Here is a 23,765-nt window from a genome sequence, read left to right as displayed (position 1 = left end):
ACTATGTAATTGAGGCTCTGAGAGTAGTGCCTGGTATATTGTAATATCTCAATCAAGTATAAACTTTATTAATACTCTATTAATATAGTGAGGATTAGCTACAATTATCTTGCAGACAGGGCCTTCTCATGGACTTATAACCTATGCAGTCACATGGGGCTCCACACATAGAAGGGCCCTGCTCTTCATTTAATATCTTCTTCTTGTCATCTTGAAATTCTTAATAACTTTTGAACAGAGGGCTTCTCATTTTCATTTTACACTGACCCCTACAAATATGTGAATTGTCCTGGTTGCAGATGAATTTATGAGATTTTGCACACATTGTCTCATATTAAAAGTTGTTTCATTTAATTGTTCTAAGAGCTTTGTGAGAAAATTGAATTAACTTGGAGACCACAAATCATACATAATATTATCAGAGCCATATCCCTAATATGTGAAAAAAGTCAGAAGGAAACCTCTGTTTATTGACTCCAAGCCCAGTGTGCTTTCCATTTTGCTATCCTAAATGATGACATCCACTATCTAATGTATCAAAAATTGGTAGAGATAAATAAGAAACTGGATTTTTTTTTAAATATGGGTACCTTGTAAAGGAACTGAATTGGGAATAGTCAGTTAATTTTTATAGTTCAAATACAAGTAATTATTTTAGTTCTTAAGAATGTTATCATTGTCATCATCAGATTTCATTTCGCATTATTTTTCAGAAGCAATTAGTCTTCCCTGCCTGTGTTCACTACCTGTAAACCAAGCAGAGTCTCATATGAGCGTCTGAAATGTTTGTTTGAAAGAGTAAATTGACCTTATTCAGTAACATTTTCTTCCCCAAGGTATCCAGGCTATAAGGTGTGATCATCAAGGATTGAAACCAATCTTTCATTAACATTACCTTTAGTTATTATTTAATAATTATTTGGTTTATTATCTGTTTAACAATATGTGCATATAAAGCTACATAGAAGATATAGGAACAATTTTTAAACAAGGACATGTAACTAAAAGCTGTAGTTTTTAGGTAGTTTAAAAGGAAATAAAGCCCATGAACAACTCATAGCATACCTAGAGATTTACTAAACAAGCTGTGGATGTGAACCAGCAGCATGTGCATCACCTAAGAGCTTGTTAAAGATGAAAAGACTCATGCCCCTTCCCATGATCTACTGAAAGAGTCTACATTTTAGTAAGATCCCCAAGTGATTTAATATACATATTAAAGTTTGAAAATCACTGAGCTAGAGTACGTCAACCACCATATTATATTGTCATCATTGGCAGTATTGGTGCACAATTATTTTATGGATCACGAAACACTGCCAATTAATCTAAATCAGGATATACCTTGATTGCAACTCAAATCCAGATTTTAGAAATAATAAATGTAAAACTGCTGATTTGTAGCTCAGTAGTGACTCTGAGGCTTACAGTTGGAGTCTCAGCATCTCGGTGTCAAGATCCCACAGAAGCTCTCATTTACCCATGTGGGCTTCTCATTTACCCCCAGGCCCCAGGTGGGCTTGGCCTTCTTTCTGGAGATGGAAGTCAGGATCTTCTCATCTGATTACACTGAGGGCAGATGAGCCATGAGGACTCTTATAGGGATAATCCCCTAACAATCCAAATTAGGAGCAGCTGCAGTCTTGGAATGATGTGCGTTGACTATCTAAGTAATAAGCTTTGGATTCTGAAATAGTTGGACCTAAGCCCATGACCATTAAAGTAAAATGCCTGTGTGTTTTAATATCAATTCAAAACTAGGTCTCCTTTACTTTTTTTTTTTTTTTGATTTTTAGAGTCCTGCTTTCATAGCAAAAATTTTTCACTTGCCAAAATGCAGAAAATCACTGTGTGCAGGTTTACTTTGGTTAATTATCATTTCTGTATGGTAATATCCTCATGCTGAATTCTGTATATATTCTTTATTTTTAGGCCATGGTTTATATAAGATTATTTTACCTTACCACAATTTGCTAACTTATGTATTTATTTCCATTTTAATGACTTTGTAATATAATGGCTTATGCCCTAAAGAAAGTAAACTCTTCCTTGGATATAAATTGGACAGTTGGGGATTTGCAGTCTTAAGCAACCATTTAGGGGAATGCTGCTTCTGCAGCATGAATTTTGTAAAGAGTCCCTTAGAGGCACCCATGAAGTACGGCACCTCTCTAAACTGAAGCACACCTGCCTTGAAATTTTCTTGGTGATTAGATGAACAAAGGGATGCCTTTAACTGACACAAGTAGAAACATCATTATTTCCAGAGAGCTTGTGAGTGTATGCTTACATCATGTTTATAAAAAGACAACTTTGTCTGAAGTGAGCTGGCGGCAGGCTTTGCAGAGAACAAGGAGGTGTCCCAGACTCTCACATTTTCTTTAGGACATCAGAATTTTATGGCATTTTATCCCTTTTCACACTATCTTCCCCTAAACTGAATTTGTGTTTGGAGGCTATTTGTTCCAAAATATATATTCAAACTAAATTAGGCTTCGTTAGATGACAATAACACTGAAAATACCACCACCACCCCTACTGTCCACCCAGAAAAATGCAGCATTTTTTCACTTCATTTGCAGTCTTAATAAACTCTTTCTTTTTGTCTTTGAAATACACATAACACGCGAAGCAATTAAATGTCAAGTGGAATAGTTATAAATGTAGATTAACCACAAAGGAAGAATTTTGCATTCCTAGTAGTTTTTCTTTAAGTATTACTTCTGATCCTCAAATTAAAACTATCACTTTTTTCAATTCTAAAACTTTATTATTCTTTAATTTTCAATCTTACTGAGAGGGAAGAACTGACTGTAAAATTGATGGGTGGCTTGGGAAAAGATAACTATGTCATCTAGCCAAATGAATATATTCTAATATATGAAAGAAGTTTTATTTTATTATTATTATTATTATTATTATTGTATGAGCAGCTCACATAGGATCTACCCACTTAGCAAATATGTAAATGTGCAATATAGTATTGTTATGTAGAGGCACAATGTTATACAGCAGATCTCTAGAATTTATTCTTCTTGCATAATGAAATTTTATAATTATTGATTGGCAACTCCCCATTTCTCCCTTGCCCCAGGCCCTGGCAACCACAATTCTATTCTTTGCTTCTATGACATAGACTGTTTTAGATATTTCTTGTAAGTGGAATCATGCAGTATTTATCTTTCTGTGACTGGCTTATTCACTTGGCATAATGTCCTCAGGCTCATTCTTGTTGACATATATTGCAGGATTTCCTTCTTTTTTTTTTTTTTTTTTTTTCTGAAACAGAGTCTCACTCTGTTGGCCAGGCAGGAGTGCAGTGGCGTAATCTTAGCTCACTGCACCCTCCACCTCCCGGGTTCAACCATTCTTCTGCCTCAGCCTGCCAGGTAGCTGGGATTATAGGCCTATGCCACCATGCCTGGCTAATTTTTGTATTTTTTGGTAGAGATGGGGTTTCACCATGTTGACCAGGCTGGTCTTGAACTCCTGACTTCAAGCGATCTGCCTGCCTTGGCCTCCCAAAGTGCTAGGATTACAGGCTCCTGGCTGATTCTCTTTTTTAAGGCGGAATAATTTTCCCTTGTATGTATATACCACATTTTAAAAAATCCAGTCATCCATCAATGGATATTTAGGTTGTGTGCTCATCCTGGCTATTGTGAAGACTACTACAGTGATCATAGGAGTACAAATATCTCTTAAAAATTCTGACTTCATTTTTTTTTTGGCTGAATATTCAGAAGTGGGATTGCTGCATGATATAATAATTCTATTTTTATTTTCTTGAGGAACTTCCATACTGTTTTCTAGAGCAGCTGCACCATTTTGCATGTTCACTAACAGTGTACACAGCTTCCAGTTTATCCACATCCTCTCCAACAGTTGTTGTTTTTTTCTTTTTTGTCTTTTTTAATAATAGCCAGCCTAACAGGCATGAGGTGATATCTCACTGTAGTTTTAATTTGCATTTCTCTGGTGATTACTGACGTTGGGTATCTTTTTACATACCTGTTGGCCATTTGTATTTCTTCTTTGAAGAAATGTTTATTCAAGTCCGTAGCCCATTTTTAATTGGGTTATTGTTGTCATTGCTATTGAGTTTCTACTGGAGAATAGGGCAACTCCTCCAAATGTGTTCATTTATTCTACAAGCCCTCACTGAGTGCCAACAGTATCTTAAGCACTGACTAGATGCTGGATTTACAAATATGGATAATTCACATTGCCTCGGCCAGATTCCAAAGAGTCACACTAATAAAAATGAATTACAATGCCTTTAATTCAATAATAAAATGTATTCAATGACCACAACATAATTGGCACTGATCTAGATGCTAAATAAGCATAGAAACAGGATTAAGACATGGTTGAGGAGAGATAAACACATACTCAATTAGATATTTCTGCTTTTTCATCTCACCTTTGAATTATCTCTATCATAGCATTTATTGCTACTGTAATGTAATTTTACCAGTATTTGATCAACTGGGGTTTCCCAAGTAGATGAAACCCTAAAGCCCTAAGACATCTGTTGTATGTAATGGTGCTAGTTATGTATCCTCCTTGGGAGAATTGAGGAAATACTCAAATACCTTTCTGTTTTCTCTGTTTCAGATGAGGATTTGGGTTGAAAAAAGCTGGATAGTAATTTTTGTGATGGTAGAGATTGTGACTTTTATTTCTTTAATGGTATAATTTGGGGCATAGTAGGTATTCTATAACCTTTGTGTAGATTCATTGTAATTACATTCAAATGAAACAGGTTCTATAAGAGAGATTTATGCTACATTCTATTGCAACGCAGTATAGGGATGGTGACTGAGAAATATTTAGGAAAAGGCTTTCCCAAGGAGGTAACATTTGAGAAAAGTAGTATGGCACTGAACGAAAAGTAGTATGTCACCAAGTAAACAAAAATAGAGATAAGAGTCGAGACAGGAAAAGTTGGAGAAAAGGTGCAGGTGTAAAATAATAAATGATGTGTTTAGGGTATATCTGGAATTAGTGTGTCTGGAGAAAAGATGCATGGGGAAAAGAGGTCAATAATTGTGCTGGATAAAAGTTTGGATAAATGATGTTGAAATGGATAAAGTAATGACAGGATGTGACTGCTGCAGGAAAGGAATTGGGTTTTACCCTGTAGGTCAGTGGTTCAGAGTTTTGTGCATAAGCATCATCTGAGAGCTTATTAAACTGCAGCTTCATGTCCCCCTTGCTTCTGATTCAACAGTAGACCCGCATTTTTAACAGAAATATAAGGTGATACAGAAGCAAATGATGCAAGGGAAACAACTTCACCCTAATCAAGGCTGCTGTTTATTATTCACTGCCATGGATATTTCTAGAAAACTCTGCATAGAATCAGCATTTTATAGGAATAAATGATCAAAAGAGCCTAAGCCTCCATGTAAATATACTGAAACAGATCCAGTGGGAGATACAGTGTAGAGATTCTTCAAAGGTAGAATTAAGGTGACTTTTTACAGTTTTGGAGAAAGAAGAATACAAAATACAAACACAAGCAAAATTTACATATTTCTGCCCAAACAAAGCAATCAAACCAGATATGCTTCAGATTAAAGTGAAAAGGAGTGGGGAGCTTGAGTGGTCGGAAGCATGAAGGAACTAACAAAACTGGCTTCATGAGATGCAGTCTTTAATCGTTTAGACTACCCAGTGATCAAGGTTGACCAGTCTATGTGGAGTGCAACGCAATGCATTTTATTCAACTTCTATGAGCACTAGGGTTTTCATCTTTCAAGTGAAAGCATTAATCTCTGTGTACCTTAAGGTCCCTCTCTACAATAATATTTAAGTTCTGTGGTTGCAAACACAGAAAACATTTTTATATAAATTTCTTAAAGTTCTTACTGAAAAGTCATCTAGCCAAAGGGGTCCCAGCATATCACACTAAGTGACCTTAGTTATTCCAAAAAGGTAAGAGAGACAAGAATTTTCTACCACTACCATCTCCTTGATCAAAAGCAAACTAACAAACCAAATCCTCTTCAAATTTAAGAAAAAAGTGTGTTGAAAGAGATTCCTATCTGCCTGCTTAGTTTTTCTTTCTTTCTTTTTCCCCTTTTAAGTAAAGTTGGGCAAAGCATCCAAGAATCAGATTATCAAGAAGCAGCACAAGATGTAAAAGTCTGCCTCTGCCCACGTCCCCACAGCCTTTCTGAGCCAGCCAACGGCTTTGATGCTAGAGCTCAGCATTCTCATTAAGTTTTACAGGTTTCCATCAAACAGCTTCACTGCTTTAAACCTGAAGCTGGTCCCATAGTCCAGTCATAGGGTATATGATCAAAACACATGATGTTTTTAAAAATTCAAAATACTGGATATGCTTCCACTGCTCCATGCCTCTCTGTATTCTAGCAAAGGTAGATGGATAAGCTCTGTGTGCAGTTGCCTCATAGTCCATTTTTAAATAATTGTTTGATTCTCTGAGAGGTATGGTGCTTGTGAACAGGTGAGAGATCTCTTCCAGAGGATAGATGTTAAGAATGATTATCTCTAGGAAATGATTTCTAGGAGAGTTTTTGACTGCAAACTCTTGGCAAAGACCAGGAAATATCAGGGGCAGACTGCGTCTTCTGTTCTAGCTCTGCTGGCCCCAGGGCTGGAGTCCATTAAAGAATATAAATCAAAGAGTGAGAAGCCATCCCTGTAGTTGGTCCTATGATCACACATGCTAAGCAAGCAGTGTGTAATTATGGGAGGACATTAAAATGCCAGTGGAAGAGATGGATGAGATTCAAAACATGCTTTCTTTTCTGGGTCAGTAAAGTCTGTTTCCTTTTTTGCCAGAATACATGTTCCCTTTTATTCTATGAAGAATAGAAAGTGTATCTGAGCCATCAGTAATTTTAAAAGAAAGGAAGGGAAGAAGGGAGCAAAGGGGGCAGAAAGGGAGAGAAAAAGGAAGGAAGGAAGGAAGGAAACTTCCTTTTGATAATCATCTTTCTTGATGGAAAAAATAATGTACAAAATTTAAAAATAAGAGCAATTTTTGGAAAGTGATTGTTGATTCTGGAAAAGAAATTCTGAACAGTGAAGAGATCTTTAAAGATAAACAAAACTGAAACTTAAATATAGAGGATCTCTATGAAGCTTGAGAGAAAAAAAAAAGAAAAATGAACATTAGAGACACCTAACTTTCAGTGGAATTTTTAGGGAGGCCAAAATCTTCTCTGAGGATGTATCAGGAAGAGATCTCTACCCTCTTTTTTCCATTTATCAACCTGGATGGTGATTTTTTTTGTTTTGTTTTGGTCCTGATATCCCATACAGAATATAGTACATGTGTGCTGTCTGTATTTTCTGTGCCACATAGTTGATGAATTTTCCAAATCTCATTGAAATCCTATGGATTCCATTAAATCTTAGCCATTTAGATTTTCAGCCTTTTGCATAAGGCCTTAAAATTTTAAAGAAAATAAAAAAGATGAGATCATTTAGTCTTATTTAAAATGAGAAAACTGAAGGGACATGTTTCACCCTCACTTTTAACAACTCATAACTGGGTCTTATGATTCTTGGTCCAGACTCTTTATAACTCTATTAGCTTCTGTATATTTCTTAGCTCCATGTAACCGGTGAACATTGCAGATCAAATACGTGACAGTTCTGTGTGATAACACCGGTTTGTGTCTGACTAACCCATGAAACAGAATTACCTTAGAACAAGGAAGGAGCAGACCTGTCTTATGCAGTGGTACATTTTAATGATATTTAAATGTACTCCAGTGTATGATGTGTATGGCATACATGGCAAACACTGAATAAACTGAAATGGTTTTTAAATCCTTCAGGTCAACTCTATACAAGCTTAAGAAAGTCCACTAAAAACAGTCCTTAATGGACGGCAACATTGTTAGGAAAAACTTACAAATACATCAGGTTAATTTCAAATTTCAGATTCTTGTCACCACTCTTCCCATCCATCGCTTGCCAAGGGTGAACATTTTGGATATCTTTGAACAACTGACTTTCTTATAATTACATTGTAGAAGTCAAGATCATAATTACGGAGAGTTATTTGAATAATCAATTGTGATAACTCGAATGACATAATTCATCAGAATTTCTGTTGTTTTGGTACCATCCTGAAAAACAGGTGTCTAGCATGCATGTCAAACCACGTATTATACTACTTGAAGAACAGATCCAAGAGTTAAATTCTCAAAAACCCTGTTTGGATGTTTTGGAGACTGCCTTCAGTCTGATGAATGCTGAAACACATGGGATCTTCACAACACACTGATTTAATTTACTTTTATTTTTCTCGTAGGTAGTCATGTTTTTCCATAAGCTTAAAATGTTAACACTAGAAAAAATATAAAGAGTATATATCATACTGTTTAGGGAAATAAACCCTGTAGTTAAATAGGTGAATAAATTAAGGCACAGTGAGATTAAGTGACTTCTTCCAAATTATTATTATTTTTTTTTTGCCAAGATGTCTCATCAGTCAGGTATCCTTGATGAATTCACTAAGATCTTCAACTTAATAAAATAATAACCATATTGGTAGAAGCATCTACAACATAACCCAATACTTCTTTTTTCATTTTTTTTTAATTCACAAATAAACTTAGAATGTGAAAGGCATTTTCCCATTGCTAGTTTTCTAAATGTCAGAATCCTTCATGTCATTTTCTCTTTTCTTATTCATACCAGAGCTTTAATGATCTTAGGATTCTACCAGCATATCTCAAATTAACCTTGACTTTCTTGTCTGTCATCATCTAACTAAAAAGTTCTTCAACTGGTTTTGGAGAAATGTCATTCTTTAGTTATTTCTGTAGAAACTTCTAAGTAAAGTCATGAGCTGTTCCAGGGTCCATAAAACAGGTCTTTTACATTTATTACTATTCCTTGCCCCCAAAAAGCAAGACTTGGCTGGGCGTGATGGCTTATGCCTGTAATCCCAGCACTTTGGGAGGCTGAGGCAGGTGGATCACTTGAGGTCAGGAATTTGAGACCAGCCTGGTCAACATGGTGAAACCCCGTCTCTATTAAAAACACAAAAATTAGCCGGACATGGTGGCACACGCCTGTAATCCCAGCTACTCGGGAAGCTGAGGCAGGAGAATTACTTGAACCCGGGAGGTGGAGGTTGCAGTGAGCCAAGATGGCACCACTGCACTCCAGCCTGGGTAACAGAGTGAGACTCTGTCTCAAAAAAAAAAAAAAAAAAAAAGCTAGTCTTAACTACTTTTACCTAGAAATTTTTCTATTTTTTTTTGTTTATTTTCAGCCATTAGCAAACTTTGCAAGTCATAATATATCTATCCCTGGAAGGATGTAACTACAATTGTCATAGAACTCTAATTAAGAAATTATGATACATTATGTGCATCCTTATTCTTTGAGGAAATAATCACTTTACCTCAGGCTTTTATTTTTAGATTTTCAGTGACATTCTGCATTTCTCCTTGCTTTTGGCTAGTCAGACACATCTCTTCTAAAATATTATTTTTGTTCCTAATTTTATCTAGAACTCTGGGTAGTTTAATATATAATTAATTTCTAATATAAGCAATCAATTTGCTTTCCACCATTTGGTTTTGTATCCCCCATTTTCTGATATGCCATTCTGCTTTCCTTCAATTAGGTTATAGTTATTAAAATAACTAAAATCCACCCCATCAACTGACAAAACAATTATTCACCCTTTGTACCTTGTAAAAATGCATTAAATTTCTATCCACAGCTGGAATTATAATGCATATTTTAGCTTCTTATAGGAAACATCCAGGCGTTTCTGATGATTTCCTTTTCATCAAGTGCAACCTCTTCAACTTCAATTAGCCAGACAAATTTCCTGATCATGTATTCCTTATTCTGACGAATAAATTGTTACTTGGTTTCTGGGATATTGACTTATATAATTTTCAGTAAAGCATGTTTCCCTTGAATTATTTCTGTTTCTCACTTTAACTTAAAAGTCCTCTTTCATGCAATACTCATTATGTCTTTGGAAAAACATTCCCAAGTATGTTTTCTTTATTATATCATAATTTTCAAGGCAAGAATATTTATTCTGCATTTGGCATTGTTAGAGATACAAATTTTCTTCTAAAATAGTTGAGCATTGAACCGAGAAGTCAGATTTCAACAGGTAAACATATTTCTTTATTACTTCAGTAAGTAGTGACCACCTTCTAAAGGCACAATTTATTTGGAGCGGTGTGGCTTGCCCATTTTTGTAAGGGCTGAATTTTTATAAGGCTTTCTTAGTGAGCTTGCAATCTAAGAATATTTCTTACATGAACTCTGTAGTAATACTGCCTAGGATTTTATTTTGGTGTGACCTTGGGCAAATAAGTCATTTTCTCAGTCCCTCTGATTCCTCATCTGTAAGGTGGAGACATAAAAGTATCTACAGATACGGTTTTTGTGAGTGTTAAATGAGGTAGTTGATGTATCTTTAAAAGAAATAGGAGAGTTGGCCAGACATGGTGGCTCACACCTGTAATCCTAGCACTTTGGGAGGCTGAGGCGAGTGGATCACTTTAGGTCAGGAGTTCGAGAGCAGCCTGGCCAACATGGTGAAACCCTGTCTCTGCTAAAAGTACAAAACAAAACAAAACAAAATTAGCCAAGTGTGGTGGCGGGCACTTGTAATCCCAGCTACTTGGGCAGCTGAGGCAGGAGAATCACTTGAACCTGGGAGGCGGAGGTTGCAGTGAGCCAAGATCACAGCACTGCACTCCAGCCTGGGCAACACAGAGAGACTCTGTCTCAAAAAACGAAACAAAACAAAAATAAAATATATATATATACATATATATGTGTATATATACATATATATGTATATATATATAGATATGTATATACATACACATATATATGAATATATATGTATATAGATACACACACATATATACATATATACATGTATATATATGTATATATACACGCGCATATATACATATATATACACACACACACACACATATATATATACACACATATATAGGAGAGTTAGGATTACAGCTTATAAGTATGTGTATAAATGGCTTTGGGGCATTTTACACATGCTATTTAGTCTTTAAACTTGAAGAGTAATTATTTCTGATTTAAAAAAGTTTATTTTATTTTATTTTTTATTTTTTTAATTTTTTATAGAGGAGGCTCAAGGAAGCTAAGTAACTTTTCCAAGGCTGCATCCTGTTAAGAGACTGAACAAAGATGCAAACTAAATCAATGTGATTCTAAGGGCTGTTTCCCTCCTCTGTGCTGTGATGTCAGTGCAGTGGCAGGAAGAGTACTGGATAAGGGCAGGCAAAATTTAGTTTTGATTTGGACTCATTCATTTATTTGTTCTGTAAATTCACCGGGTAGAGGTATTGAGGCTTTTGGGATTTTTTTTTTTTTCTTTGAGACGCAGTTTTGCCCTGTTGCCCAGGCTGGAGTGCAATGGCACATCTTGGCTCACTGCAACCTCCTCCTCCCGGGTTCAAGCAATTCTCCTGCCTCAGCCTCCCGAGTAGCTGGGATTACAGGTGCCTGCCACCATGCCCGGGTAATTTTTGTATTTTTGGTAAAGATGACGTTTCACCATATTGGCCAGGCCAGTCTTGAACTCCTGACCTCAGGTAATTGGCCTGCCTCAGCTTCCCAAAGTGCTGGGATTACAGCCGTGAGCCACTGTGCCCCGCTGGGAATGGGCATTTTATCAGAAAAGGTAATGAAGACAGACAGGGGGAGACTCAAATCATTTTTTTAGACTCACTCATTTATTTGCTTAACAAACATTTATTGAACACTGAGCAGCATTCTGAATGTGTGTTGGCTGCCGAGCAGCAAACAAGAAAACCTATTTTTGCAGTGCTTCAGAAACATGCAGTTAAAGAGGAATGCAGAACAGGTTCTCAGAAGAGAGATGAGGAGCCATTCACATGGAGGAGGTGTTGAACATTTGGATATGCCATGCTCATTCTGGGAAGTTTAATGAGGAGACGTGGGAGAAAACCAGAACCATCAGGACATTGAGATGCACCCACTTTAGAGAATGAAGGTATGAAGATAAGACAGGGAAGAGAAGAGATCAGAGGAAAGGAATGTATCCCAGGGTAGGGCACTAGCTGAATGACAGTTAACACAAGAGGAAACAGCTTGAGAGGGGGCCTTATGGCTGGAGAGGGTGAGATAGAACCTTGAAAGTAGATCCTCAGGCTGCTGTAGTAGTAGATAAGAGAGACTGTATCCCTGCTGACACATCATTCAAAGGTTTGGGGTATTGTGATATGGCTAGAGGGTCAGTCTCTTCTGAGCTAGCTATAACAGAGACCCAACTAAAGCCTAAGACAGAGCCATGTCCCTCCTCAAGACAAGACCCTCCATATGACTTTGTTCATTAAGAAGCATGTCCCACCGGGCACGGTGACTCGTTCCTGAAATCCTAGCACTTTGGGAGTGCTGAGGCAGGCAGATAGCTTGAGCCCAGGAGTTAGAGATCAGCCTGGTGAAACCCCATCCCTACAAAAAATACAAAAATATTAACTGGATGGTGGCGTGTGCCTGTTGTCCCAGCTACTCAGGAGGATTGCTTGAGTCCAGGAGCAGAGGTTATACCGCACTGTGATCGTGCCACAGTAATCCAGCCTGGGTAACAGAGCGAGACTGGGTCAAAAAAAAAAAAAAAAAAAAAAAGTCCTAGGAATTTTCCCACGTTCCTCATAGGCACCTGAGGAGCAATCCAAATAGATTTTATTTTCCAGGCAGACTAGGGAAATCCCTACTGAATGTCCATGTCAGGTGGGGCTCCTGAAGGCTGTCAAGCCAGATAGACAGATGGGTCCCTTCTCCAAGGGAGAACGGGCAAACCTCACCATCTGTTCTGCTATATACAAAGCTTTTCGTAGTTTTGACCTGGCTGAGCCCTTTCTTCTAGTAGTTGTAATAAAATTACTGTGAACTACACAGTATCACTGTCTAGACACAGTGGAATAGTGGAGAGAGTCAGAGATCTGGAATTAGACATTTCTATTCCAAACGTAAGTCCAGCAGTTTTGGCAAATTGCATAATTTCTTTTAATGTGATTTATCTGTGAAAGGGGAGTAGGATAACAAAGGGTTATTTTGGCATTTTGAAATGGTGTACATCAACAAAGAACCACATAGAAGATGCTCCAAAACACAGCAATTTTTAATAACATGGGATAGATCGTGAATGATGTAGACAACTATTATAAAAGAGAAGATCTGAGAAAGGACAACGATCTGAGAAAAGGTAGTGGAAGGTAGTGGAAGCATCTTTGAAAAAAATATTTATCCAAAGAACTCAGATTGTAAGAGGTTATGAAGAGTGGGTGAAGAAGAGAAAGAAGCAATGTATTTTTATTTGGTTGTTTTTCTTAGAAAGTTGGCCATGAGCAAAAAGAGAGAGAAGGACTGTTGCTGGAAGAAGTAAAAGGCTGAGGAGAAGCTTCTGATGCCTGATCATAACAGTGCCATCAAAACAAACATGAAACCAGTCTACTCTAGCTAGGAATATATATGCTTATGCAAAGTTAGTGTTCTTAGAGGAAATAACCAAGACATTGTTGGGAAGCCATTAGGAGAGAGAAGTTGAAACTGATGGAAAGATAAGAGCCTCTATAACACAGTGTTTATTCTTACATTAAAGCTTTTGCTTATTTTTTGCATTGTTTTAGCATTTTGGTTCTCACTTCTCCTTGCTACAGCAGAACTGGTGGAGAATTATTAAGGAACATAGATAATAATGGCAGTAGAAACTAAAGTCATAATTGACTTTAGTCAAAAAACACCTGAGAGACTTATGCCTTCAAATTCTCCCTTTCTATGGCAGAATTACAAGTGATATGCATTTTCTGAGGCAGCCCTTCCAATCTTCCTGGAATCATTCTTCCTGGGTACTTGTCTTTGATCCGTTTCTATTAATCTCAGGTCTATCTGTCCGGGAGGACTTGCCACACTCATAGCCTCAAATGCTGACCGTGGCATCTTTGCAATGCTATAAATGTTACTCTGGCTCTTATCTGTGATTTAGTGCTTCTCTCACCTGGAGCAAAGGTAGAGGGGAAGGGTCAAACTGGAGTAGGAGGAGAGGTGGGTATTTTTTTTTTTTTTCCTTTTTTTACCCTGGCCCATAAATCATAATCAAGGGATTTGGAGCATGCCCCACTTCTTGCAAAAAAGTAGTACAGAGAAAAATTGCATAACATCAAGGCATCTCATATCTAAATAATAATAATAACCAGAGAACAAATTCTTTCTTTCTTCCAAAACCCAGAATATGTTTTCTGTCAAATCAGGTCACAGCCTAAGAAAAACTCCTCTTTCTTGGGCGAGTGTCTTATACTCAGCACACTGAGGTCTCACCATCATTTCAAAAGCCCTCCTTACTATTTTATTCCAGGTGGCCACATGTCCTCATAACAATACACACCCCATGTTTGTGCACCCCAACATACCAGCTTTCCCAATCTGGATGTGCAGATAAGATCTCCGCTCTGGTGTTTCACTATTGTTTTGCTTGTTTTTTTTTTTTTTTAAGAAGAGAGGTCAACTCTTATTCATTTTAGAATTCCTCTCAGTGCTCAGAGGGTACCGTGGACAAAAGACACAATATGAATAATGAATAAATGAGTTGGATTTAAAGCATCGTGGAGTGATTAGCCCTGAGCAGTATGAGAGTCACCCCTGGTGTTGAGATAGGATGGAGTAAGACAAGAGGTAAAAACACGCTGTGGTGAAAGATGGCAAAAAGGGAAAACAAGGAAGTCCCCAGGATTGTCCTCTCTTTATAGGATTCAAAATGCTGTTAGCGTGAATAGAATCAATAACTAAAATTTAAATGTATCTTATTTCTTCAATGATTAGGTAGCACACAACACATTTATACTATTTCTATGGGCCTTAGAAAGAGACATTTCTTAGTCCTTCCCTTCAGCTTCAGCTCTTTATTAGAAGGCTTTGCTTTTTGGTTTAATGACTCTCTCTTAGCCTAGCACACGTTATCATGTGTAATAAAGTTATCAGGAGGTCTTTCTTCCATGTTTAATAATCTGGAGCAAATGACTTCCTCTATGACTCACCCATACTTACGCCTACAGGTGTTAAAGGTTCCCCGACAGTGCTGATGTGCATGTTGATTTTTTTAGGGCACAGGAACTTAGAAACATATGAATTAGGTTTCAGTTTACATAAATATGACCATATGACTGATATACCTCACTACCAAATATGAACCACAAAACCAAGGAAATGCGAGCATACATTTAAAAATGCAAATATACATTTTCCGTATGGGAATATCTATAGTTGTGATATGTAGTAAATTATATCTGTAATAGTCTGTTCTTACACTGCTCTAAAGAACTGCCCGAGGCTGGGTAATTTATGAAGGAAAGAGGTTTAATTGACTCACAGTTCAGCATGGCTGGAGAGACTTCAGGAAACTTACAATCATGGTGGAAGGCGAAGCAAATAAGTCTTTCTTCATTTGCATGGCAGCAGGAAGGAGAAGTGCCAAGCAAAATCAAATTTGTTTATATCATTGTTTCAGATTGTCAATTTCAAAATAATGTATCAATGTTTATTAATATATTTCTTTTTTACAATTTTTACCTTTTTTTATACCTTTTCAGAGGCTAAGGTATCAAGGGTATCATCCTCATGCAACTGTAAGCATATGGTGATAGTTACTTTTCTTTAACATTTACAATATATGTCATACAATAAGATGTTTTTAACAGCCTAGATATGTTGGATGTAATAACAACTATCATGTGCCATTTAAAACACTTGTTTAATCTTTAAAACGTGGCCAAAATATATAGATGTTTTTAAATAAGTCAAAAGAATTTTGATCACCTTCCCCTTTGCAAGCAACAAATAAAATAGCATCACACAATTAATCCACAAAATCTACTCTGTAAGAACACTAACTGCAGGGATCAGATAGAACCCCAAATATAATATTGCATTTCAGTCTATTTGATTCATAAAGTGTTTTCCTTTTCTTCATCTAAATCTTCTTATTTGATGGCTTTTAAAATTGATAGTATCAAAGAGACAAGTTGAATTACCATATTTTTATACCTCACAGTTTATATTATTCTAAAGATAGAAAAATATGAGAGAAATATACATGCTTGTAAATTCAGTGCCCTTTAAGTATATCATACTAGTTCCCTGCTGGGACTAGATGACAGACTCCATGTGTTCATTTTCAATTCATTTGTCAATGCAGAAGTACTGAGGTGGAGCTGGGCTGACTGGAATGAAGAAAATATGCTCCAAACATATTCTTGTGCATTTACATAAGATTGGGTAACCTTATTTATCCCGCCACAGTATTCATTCACCTAATCATGCTTAAGTTTATAAGTTTCACAAAAAATAACACACGATCAGAGATCAATGACTTTGTTCACAAAAACTACAGACTCTGATCTGGGAGAATTTCATTTTGTAGTGATTGAGAGCAGAGCATCAAGGTGAAGGGAGAGGAAAGAGAGGTTCATTTGGCCTATGCCAGGGGCTTTTTAGAGTAGTAATTATTGATCACCACCTTGATTATGGTCCATTTGGCTACGAGGCCTTCCTAAATAAAGTGCTCTGGGAAACTGCTCCACTTCCCCATCTTTATGACAAGCTTTCTGCTGCTGGTGCTGTAATGCAAGTTTTGTTCTCTGCACTTGGACAAAATTGTTTTCCCAAAATTTTTTTCTCTAGGCTTTCGCTAACCACATACTCAAACTATACACAAGGGTTCTAACTCTGAGCATCTTTTCCCCTGAACTAGATACCTGTATCAAAAAAAGAATCAAAACAGTCAAGCTCACTGCAATAGATTACAAAGTCTATAAATCAACAAAGTCTAAGCCCTGAGTGTGATAGCCTTCATTACCCTGTGTAAGGAGAGAACCTGTTAGTCCTTGGAAGTCTTTTCACTTTTTACTCCCTAAGCCAAGAGCAAGCTCTGTTCCAAAAGTTACCTCTCCTGACTCATTGCCTGCCACAAGCTAAGAGAACCTCCCTGCCCTCTGTTTTGTGAACTTCTGTTTCTCCTCACAGAGGGACTGTCTCTCAGCTCATAGACTTGCCACCTAGATGCATAAAGAAACATGGCCTACTACTTTTCTCTTTGTCTTTTGGGATGCACAGAGTGCAGGCAGTTTATGTGCTGGATTGATGGCTTTTATTATTACTCAGGCTGTTTAGATCACTCTGGTGTCATTTGCCCTGGCCCTTGCCAACTGTGGAAGTCTACTGCTAGGGTTTCAATACTTTTAATCCTTTAATAATTATTGGTTGTAAAACTTGAACAAGTTTCTTAATTTCCTTAAACTGTCATTTCGCCATCTGTAAATTAGTGGTAATTAGAGTAGTCGTAGTAGCTAGCAAGCACAGTTTATAGTGAGGATTAAATGAGATGCCGCATGCAAAGAGTGAAGCACGATGACTGACACACAGTAGGTGATCACCAAGCTGTAGAGGTTATTCTTATCTCCTCCTTGCATCGGGTGTCCTTGGAGCATCACTGCCTGGAGCAGCTTGGAACGGATTTGAGGCTTGCTTAACCAAGGTCGAAATTTGGATCCAACACAGTAACTGTTTGAGATCCACACAAAAGGTTTTAGAAACCTCAGACATGTAGTAATTTTGTGGGAATGTAGCTTAATAGCCAAGGGAAGGAAGCCAAGCCGAAATCTTCGCTGAAGGGCGCCTAACTTGTATTTAGCATGCACACTGGGGCGCATTTCCCTGCTCGGCTTTGGCAGCATCCACTGAGGGAAGAGAACCATGTGCTGTCCCAGATAGGGGTCACCCTCCTCCCCAGCACAGCACAGAGGCCTCGCTGTCGTCAGCCCCCTTGGGAAGAGCCACTGAAACCGGACAGAATCACAATAGCAGAGAAGAGAACTGGAATAAGATGTGAGGAAACTTCAAAGAAGAAGGAAATCATAGGCATTATGATAAATAAAAATAGATAACTCAGAACTTCCTGGGACCCACATTTTTTTACATCACTATCATTGTTTGGCTTACTTTTTCCTTTCTGTAGGTCATTATCTGTCCTTTTTTAAAGGCCTGACTAGTATACATCTATCTATCTATCTATCTATCTATCTATCTATCTATCTATCTATCTATCTATCTATCTGATATATAGTGTATGGTAGAATTTTCCTTGACTGTCCTAATTATGAAGAGGCAGTCAGCTTCAGAGTCTTTATACTAATAGCTCTTCTTATGTTAGGTATCTATTTTTTTTTTTCCTTTGTCGAGTCATCAGACATTTTACTACATGCTAGAAACCAAGTTCGGATAAAATGTTGAATAAACAACAAGCTCAGATAAAATGTTGAATAAGCCTCAGTCCCTGACCTCAAAGAACCAGCTCTATTCTATTTCATCTCCCCACTGGTTTGTTAGTTGAACCCCTGGAGTGCTGTGGGCACTTTCTTTTTTCTTTGCAGCATGTTGATCAATATTATTTGTATATATTTTGTCAACCACTACGTTAAAACACTTAATAAAAGACAGAGACCTCAGTGGGGGAGACTGTGTTTGGAACATAACATTTTCAATCAGGGCAGGGAGTTATATTATTTAGAGTATGGTGAGCCAATTGCTGAGAGTATTTAGAGTATGTTGAGATCTTAGTCCATTCTGACTGCTATAACAAAAATACCATAGACTGGGCAGCTCAAACAACAAATATTGGTTTCTCACAGTTCTAGAGTCTGGGAACTCCAAGATGAAGGCTCTGGAAGATTCAGTGTCTGGTGAGGGCCCATTTTCTGATTCATGATCGTCCATCTTCTTGCTGTATCCTCACATAGCAGAAGTAAGGGAGCTCTCTGGGCTCTCTTTTATGAGGGAAGTAACTAATCACATTCATGAGTCTTCACCCTCATGAGCTCATCACTTCCTAAAGGCCCCATCACACTGGGAGTTAGGATTTCAATATCTGAATATGGGTGGAGAGGGGGCACACATATTAGGTCTGTAACAGTGAGTTAATGTTAGTTGTCCAGGGGAATGCAATACATTCTCCCACACTCTCATTGCTTAGGTATATAAAGGTATTAAGGTCATGGGAAAAGCTGTGCATACTAACAGAATAGTCTATAATGTTTCATAGACGCAGTGGCATTAAACAAAATAGTTCATAAGCAATATTATAAAGAAGCAGCATTGTATAGAGCTACATCAAACAGTATGTATATGTATATATATATTGTACAAGCACATTCCATAACCACAGCAGCATAAAACTCCATTTTTTAAAAAAGTAAATACAATCTTGATAAAATCTCTGACTTGGAACTTATTTGAGGGCTGTGATTTAAAACTGCATGTAAGTAAATGATTTTTTAAAACTCTAAAAATGCTTTTGTAGCATTTTACATTTACAAGGTGTTTTAAAACTTACATATTGTCTTCATTTATTTTACTATGCTTCATACTTGAGCAATGAACCTTACACAGTTATTGTCACATGACAGGTGTTCCATAAATACATTCTATTCATTTGTGTATACATTCATTCAGATACTTATGAAAAATCTGCTGTATTCCAGGTATTAAGGATATAATAGTGAATAAAACCTAATGGTTTCTGACTTCATGTGGTGCTTACAGTCTAATGAGGGTGCACGTGCCTAGGAAACAGACAATAGTTAGATCCCTCCCTTCTATTTTCAGGCAAATCATAGGCATTTGCAGTTCCAGTGCCAATCTTGTCTCTACCCAGCTCCCTGACCTTGGGCAAGACACAGTCTTTTGGTGTGTCTGGCTATAACAGTTGGGTTTTGCTGCAAACCTACTTAACTCCAGTGAGCCTTGATTTCCTCATTGGTAAAGTGAGCATAAGAATCCCTGTTTTGGCCAGGCATGGTGGCTCACACCTGTAATCCCAACTCTTTGGGAGTCTGATGTGGGCAGATCACTTGAGAACAGGAGTTTGAGACCAACCTGGGCAACATGGTGAAACGTCTCCACTAAGAATACAAAAATTAGCCAGGCATGGTGGTTCACACCTGTGGTCCTAGCTACTCAGGAGGCTGAGGAGAGAGGCTCACTTGAGCCCAGGATGGGGAGGTTGCAGTGAGCCATGTCCACCTGGAACGGGCTGGACAGTTGATCCTTCCTTAGCAGGAAACTACTCCCACCCAGGAGCCTCTGTAGACCTGACCATTTTCTCCCTGCATCTAGCAGGTATCTCCTCCATTCTAGGGGCTATTAACTTCATTGTGACAATTATTAACATAAACCCCCTGCCATATCTCAATACCAAACACCCCTCTTTGTCTGATCCGTCCTAATCACAGCAGTCCTACTCCTCCTCTCCCTTCCAGTCCTGGCCGCTGGCATTACTATATTATTAACAGACCACAACCTTGATACCACCTTCTTTGATCCAGTCGGAGGGGGAGACCCTATCCTGTACCAACACCTATTTTGATTCTTCGGTCACCCCAAAGTCTATATTCTCATCCTACCGGGCTTCGGGATAATTTCCCATATCGTAACATACTATTCTGGAAAAAAAGAACCATTCGGGTATATGGGCATAGTCTGAGCTATGAAATCAATTGGTTTCCTAGGATTTATTGTATGAGCTCATCATATATTCACAGTAGGGATAGACGTGGATACACGAGCCTACTTCACCTCCGCTACTATAATTATCGCCATTTCCACTGGCGTCAAAGTATTTAGTTGACTTGCTACGCTTCACAGAAGTAACATCAAATGATCTGCCGCGGTACTCTGAGCCGTAGGGTTCATCTTCCTCTTCACTGTGGGTAGTCTAACCGGCATTGTACTAGCAAACTCATCATTAGATATCTAATGATGAAATATAACTAATTTCTAATTAATCTGAGAAAATTAAGACTCAGAGAAAATAGGTAACTAGGTAAACTCCAAAAAGCCAATAAATAGACAAGAACAGACTAGAACAGAAATACTATAACTTACTGAAGGCACGTTTTTACCATTACAAATTTTTCAGTAATGGATGAAGTCGGAGGAGTCAGACATTCAGCACTCTAGAGTTCCTGTTAGTTACTTCCTATACTGTCACAATGTTTATACACACTGTATATGTTCTACACACTTCCCATTAAAATATATGATTTCATGAGGTGCAGAATCTTTGAGCTCTGTCAAAGACCCAGTGTCACAGTTACTATTTAGTTTAATGTTATTTTTTATTATTTCCTGTTCATAAGGCTCAGATTCTATTTTTCCACAGTATTGCCATAGGGAGCCATCAGGAGCATGTTAAAAAAAGCAGCTTATTCATTTGCGGAATTTGCCTTTTGGTTTTTTAAAAACATATATTTATTGAATTCTGGATGCTGTTTCTAAAATTTTAACTCTCCTAGAACATAGGCTAGAATCAGCAAAACTGGATTTATGGCCTGGATGTATGATGTAGGAAACAATCAACTTGCTCTAACTCAATTGCAGTCAGTTTGCTAGCAAGCATTTAGCTAACAGATAAAATGCCTAGTCTTATTGAGTGCCTAGAATATAATAGGCACTCACAAAGAAGATCATTTCTTACTAAAATAATCATAATACTTCATATTATTTACATTTATTTTCATCTTATTTTGTTTGCATTTGTCTTAATATATAAATACCATCTTACCCTGGCTTGTACTGTTAACTTTGGAAAGAAAATTCACAAACCATCAACATTGATTCTTCAAGCTTTTTTTCACAAACCCCATTTATATGTATATCACTTTCATAATTGAGACATATATATGTATTCTCTATCTTATCATTTAATTAATATTTTACATTTAAACAATTTACTTTTGAAATTAATCTCATCCTAAATATTATTCATATATTTACAATTTTAATATGCTAGTTATACTTTTTTCCCTCCAAGTACACATCCAAATAACTATAATTCAGAAATTAAATACAGTTTTTGAACCACTTAACTTCACCTAGCATATCACCGATGGTATGAGTCTTGGTTTTCAGTTACAAGGCAACTTTCTGCAATAGGGAAAACAGGGATTCTTTTTTTAAGACAGGGTCTTGCTTTGTCACCCAGGCTATAGTGCAGTGACCTGAACATGGCTCACTGCAACCTCCCCATCCTGGGCTCAAGTGAGCCTCCCTCCTCAGCCTCCTGAGTAGCTAGGACCACAGGTGTACACCACCATGCCTGGCTAATTTTTGTATTTTTAGTGGAGACGGTGTTTCACCATGTTGCCCAGGTTGGTCTCAAACTCCTGTTCTCAAGTGATCTGCCCACATCAGCCTCCCAAAGAGTTGGGATTACAGGTGTGAGCCACCATGCCTGGCCAAAACAGGGATTCTTATGCTCGCTTCACCAATGAGGAAATCGAGGCTCACTGGAGTTAAGTAGGTTTGCAGCAAAACCCAACTGTTACAGCCAGACACACCAAAAGATTGTGTCTCGCCCAAGGTCAGGGAGCTGGGTAGAGACAAGATTGCATTGGAACTCAGGATTTGTGTCTCACTGTTGTGAATTCTTTCTAGTATTTTCTTTCTTTGGAAATTATCTTTCCTAATACAAAACAGAAGCCATGTATTGACACCAATGGCAAATATAATAATATTTATAGACATTTTATTTTCTAGCATAAACCAGGAATCTAAGGAATATTTTCATAAAGCTAATTACTATAACAGGAAATTTGTATTATTGTAAATGAATACATTATTAACTACATTTATCTACCTGTACCTCTACATTCCCAAATTGGTTTCAACAACTGTTGAGGTGTTAGCTTCTATGTTTTCCAACCCCTTCCACTTAGGGTAATGGTAGAGAAACAGAAGACCTCTCACTGAACTGGAAAAGGGCTTGAGTTTAATGGAAAATAACTTAATAAGGGTATGCTTGTGAAGCCACTAATTTTTCTTAGATGTTTCTTTTGTGGGGAGAATACTTTTGATTAGTCTACTTTTTTTTTTAATATATTGAATAAGGCTTGCACCAATACATTCACTCATTAAAAAATTTAATATGTGCATACTTTATACCAGACACTATTATAGGTCGGTATACAATAGGGAACAAAAGGGAAAATGACTCCTACCTTTATAGAGCTTGTACTATACTGGAAGGAGACAGACACTAGATAAATTTTTAAAATATATAATTTATCTGTGGCTGTTATTACTGTGGAAATAATTAAGTACATGTCCCTGGGCCAGAAGAAGAAGATGGTGGCAATTATTTTTATAAGATGTTCACAGAGAGCTACACTGAAAAAGTGGCATGTGAGCAAAAACTTGAAGAAGGTATGAGGGTGATCCCTTTGGCTATATTGAGGAAGAACGTTCTGGGTAGAAAGAACAGCAAGTGCAAACACCCTGGAGGGTAAGTAGGTTTGGGGCATTTCAGACATACTGAAAAAGGCTAATGTAGATGGAGCAAATTAAGTGAGAAAGGATGTATCAGCGAGGTAAGAGTGGGAGTCAATTTGAGAAGGACTTTGGCTTCTTGCTTCAAATAACAGACATGTCACCAGCCCATTTTCTCCAGAAGAAAGAAAATCTGTGTGGCTCTGCTCAGTAGGTTTTTTGAAATGGTTGTTGCCTACCAGAATGCCTGAGTAGATGTGACCAAATGTAACTCAGTGACCCCTCTTAGGAGGCTGGCACTTCTCAAGTTACCACTTACTGCTTCACTGAAAGAACAGGGTTCATGGCAATCACTGAAGTTGGCAATATGAATGAATCATCTGAATGAGTACACTGCTCTTCTTGACTGA

At 37.5% G+C, this 23,765-nt stretch overlaps 1 protein-coding gene and 1 pseudogene across 15 annotated transcripts in view, besides 1 other annotated feature; both read left to right on the top strand.

Annotated features, from left to right (window-relative positions):
* Positions 1 to 23,765, top strand: part of NRXN1 (neurexin 1) — a 1,113,630-nt gene that overhangs the window by 422,603 nt on the left and 667,262 nt on the right. The window lies entirely within an intron of this gene.
* Positions 12,022 to 12,222: a silencer, noted in NCBI's record as "peak3699 fragment used in MPRA reporter construct". NCBI's record gives its function as "represses an SCP1 promoter by STARR-seq MPRAs in K562 erythroleukemia cells {active_cell/tissue: K562}" and the evidence as "EXISTENCE:reporter gene assay evidence [ECO:0000049][PMID:32103011]".
* MTCO1P42 (MT-CO1 pseudogene 42) lies at positions 20,115 to 20,840 on the top strand (annotated as a pseudogene).

This window comes from Homo sapiens, chromosome 2, assembly GCF_000001405.40.
Source record: "Homo sapiens chromosome 2, GRCh38.p14 Primary Assembly".
Taxonomy (NCBI): domain Eukaryota; kingdom Metazoa; phylum Chordata; class Mammalia; order Primates; family Hominidae; genus Homo; species Homo sapiens.
Note: the sequence above shows the minus strand (reverse complement) of the source record. Positions and strands in the feature narration are given on the sequence as shown.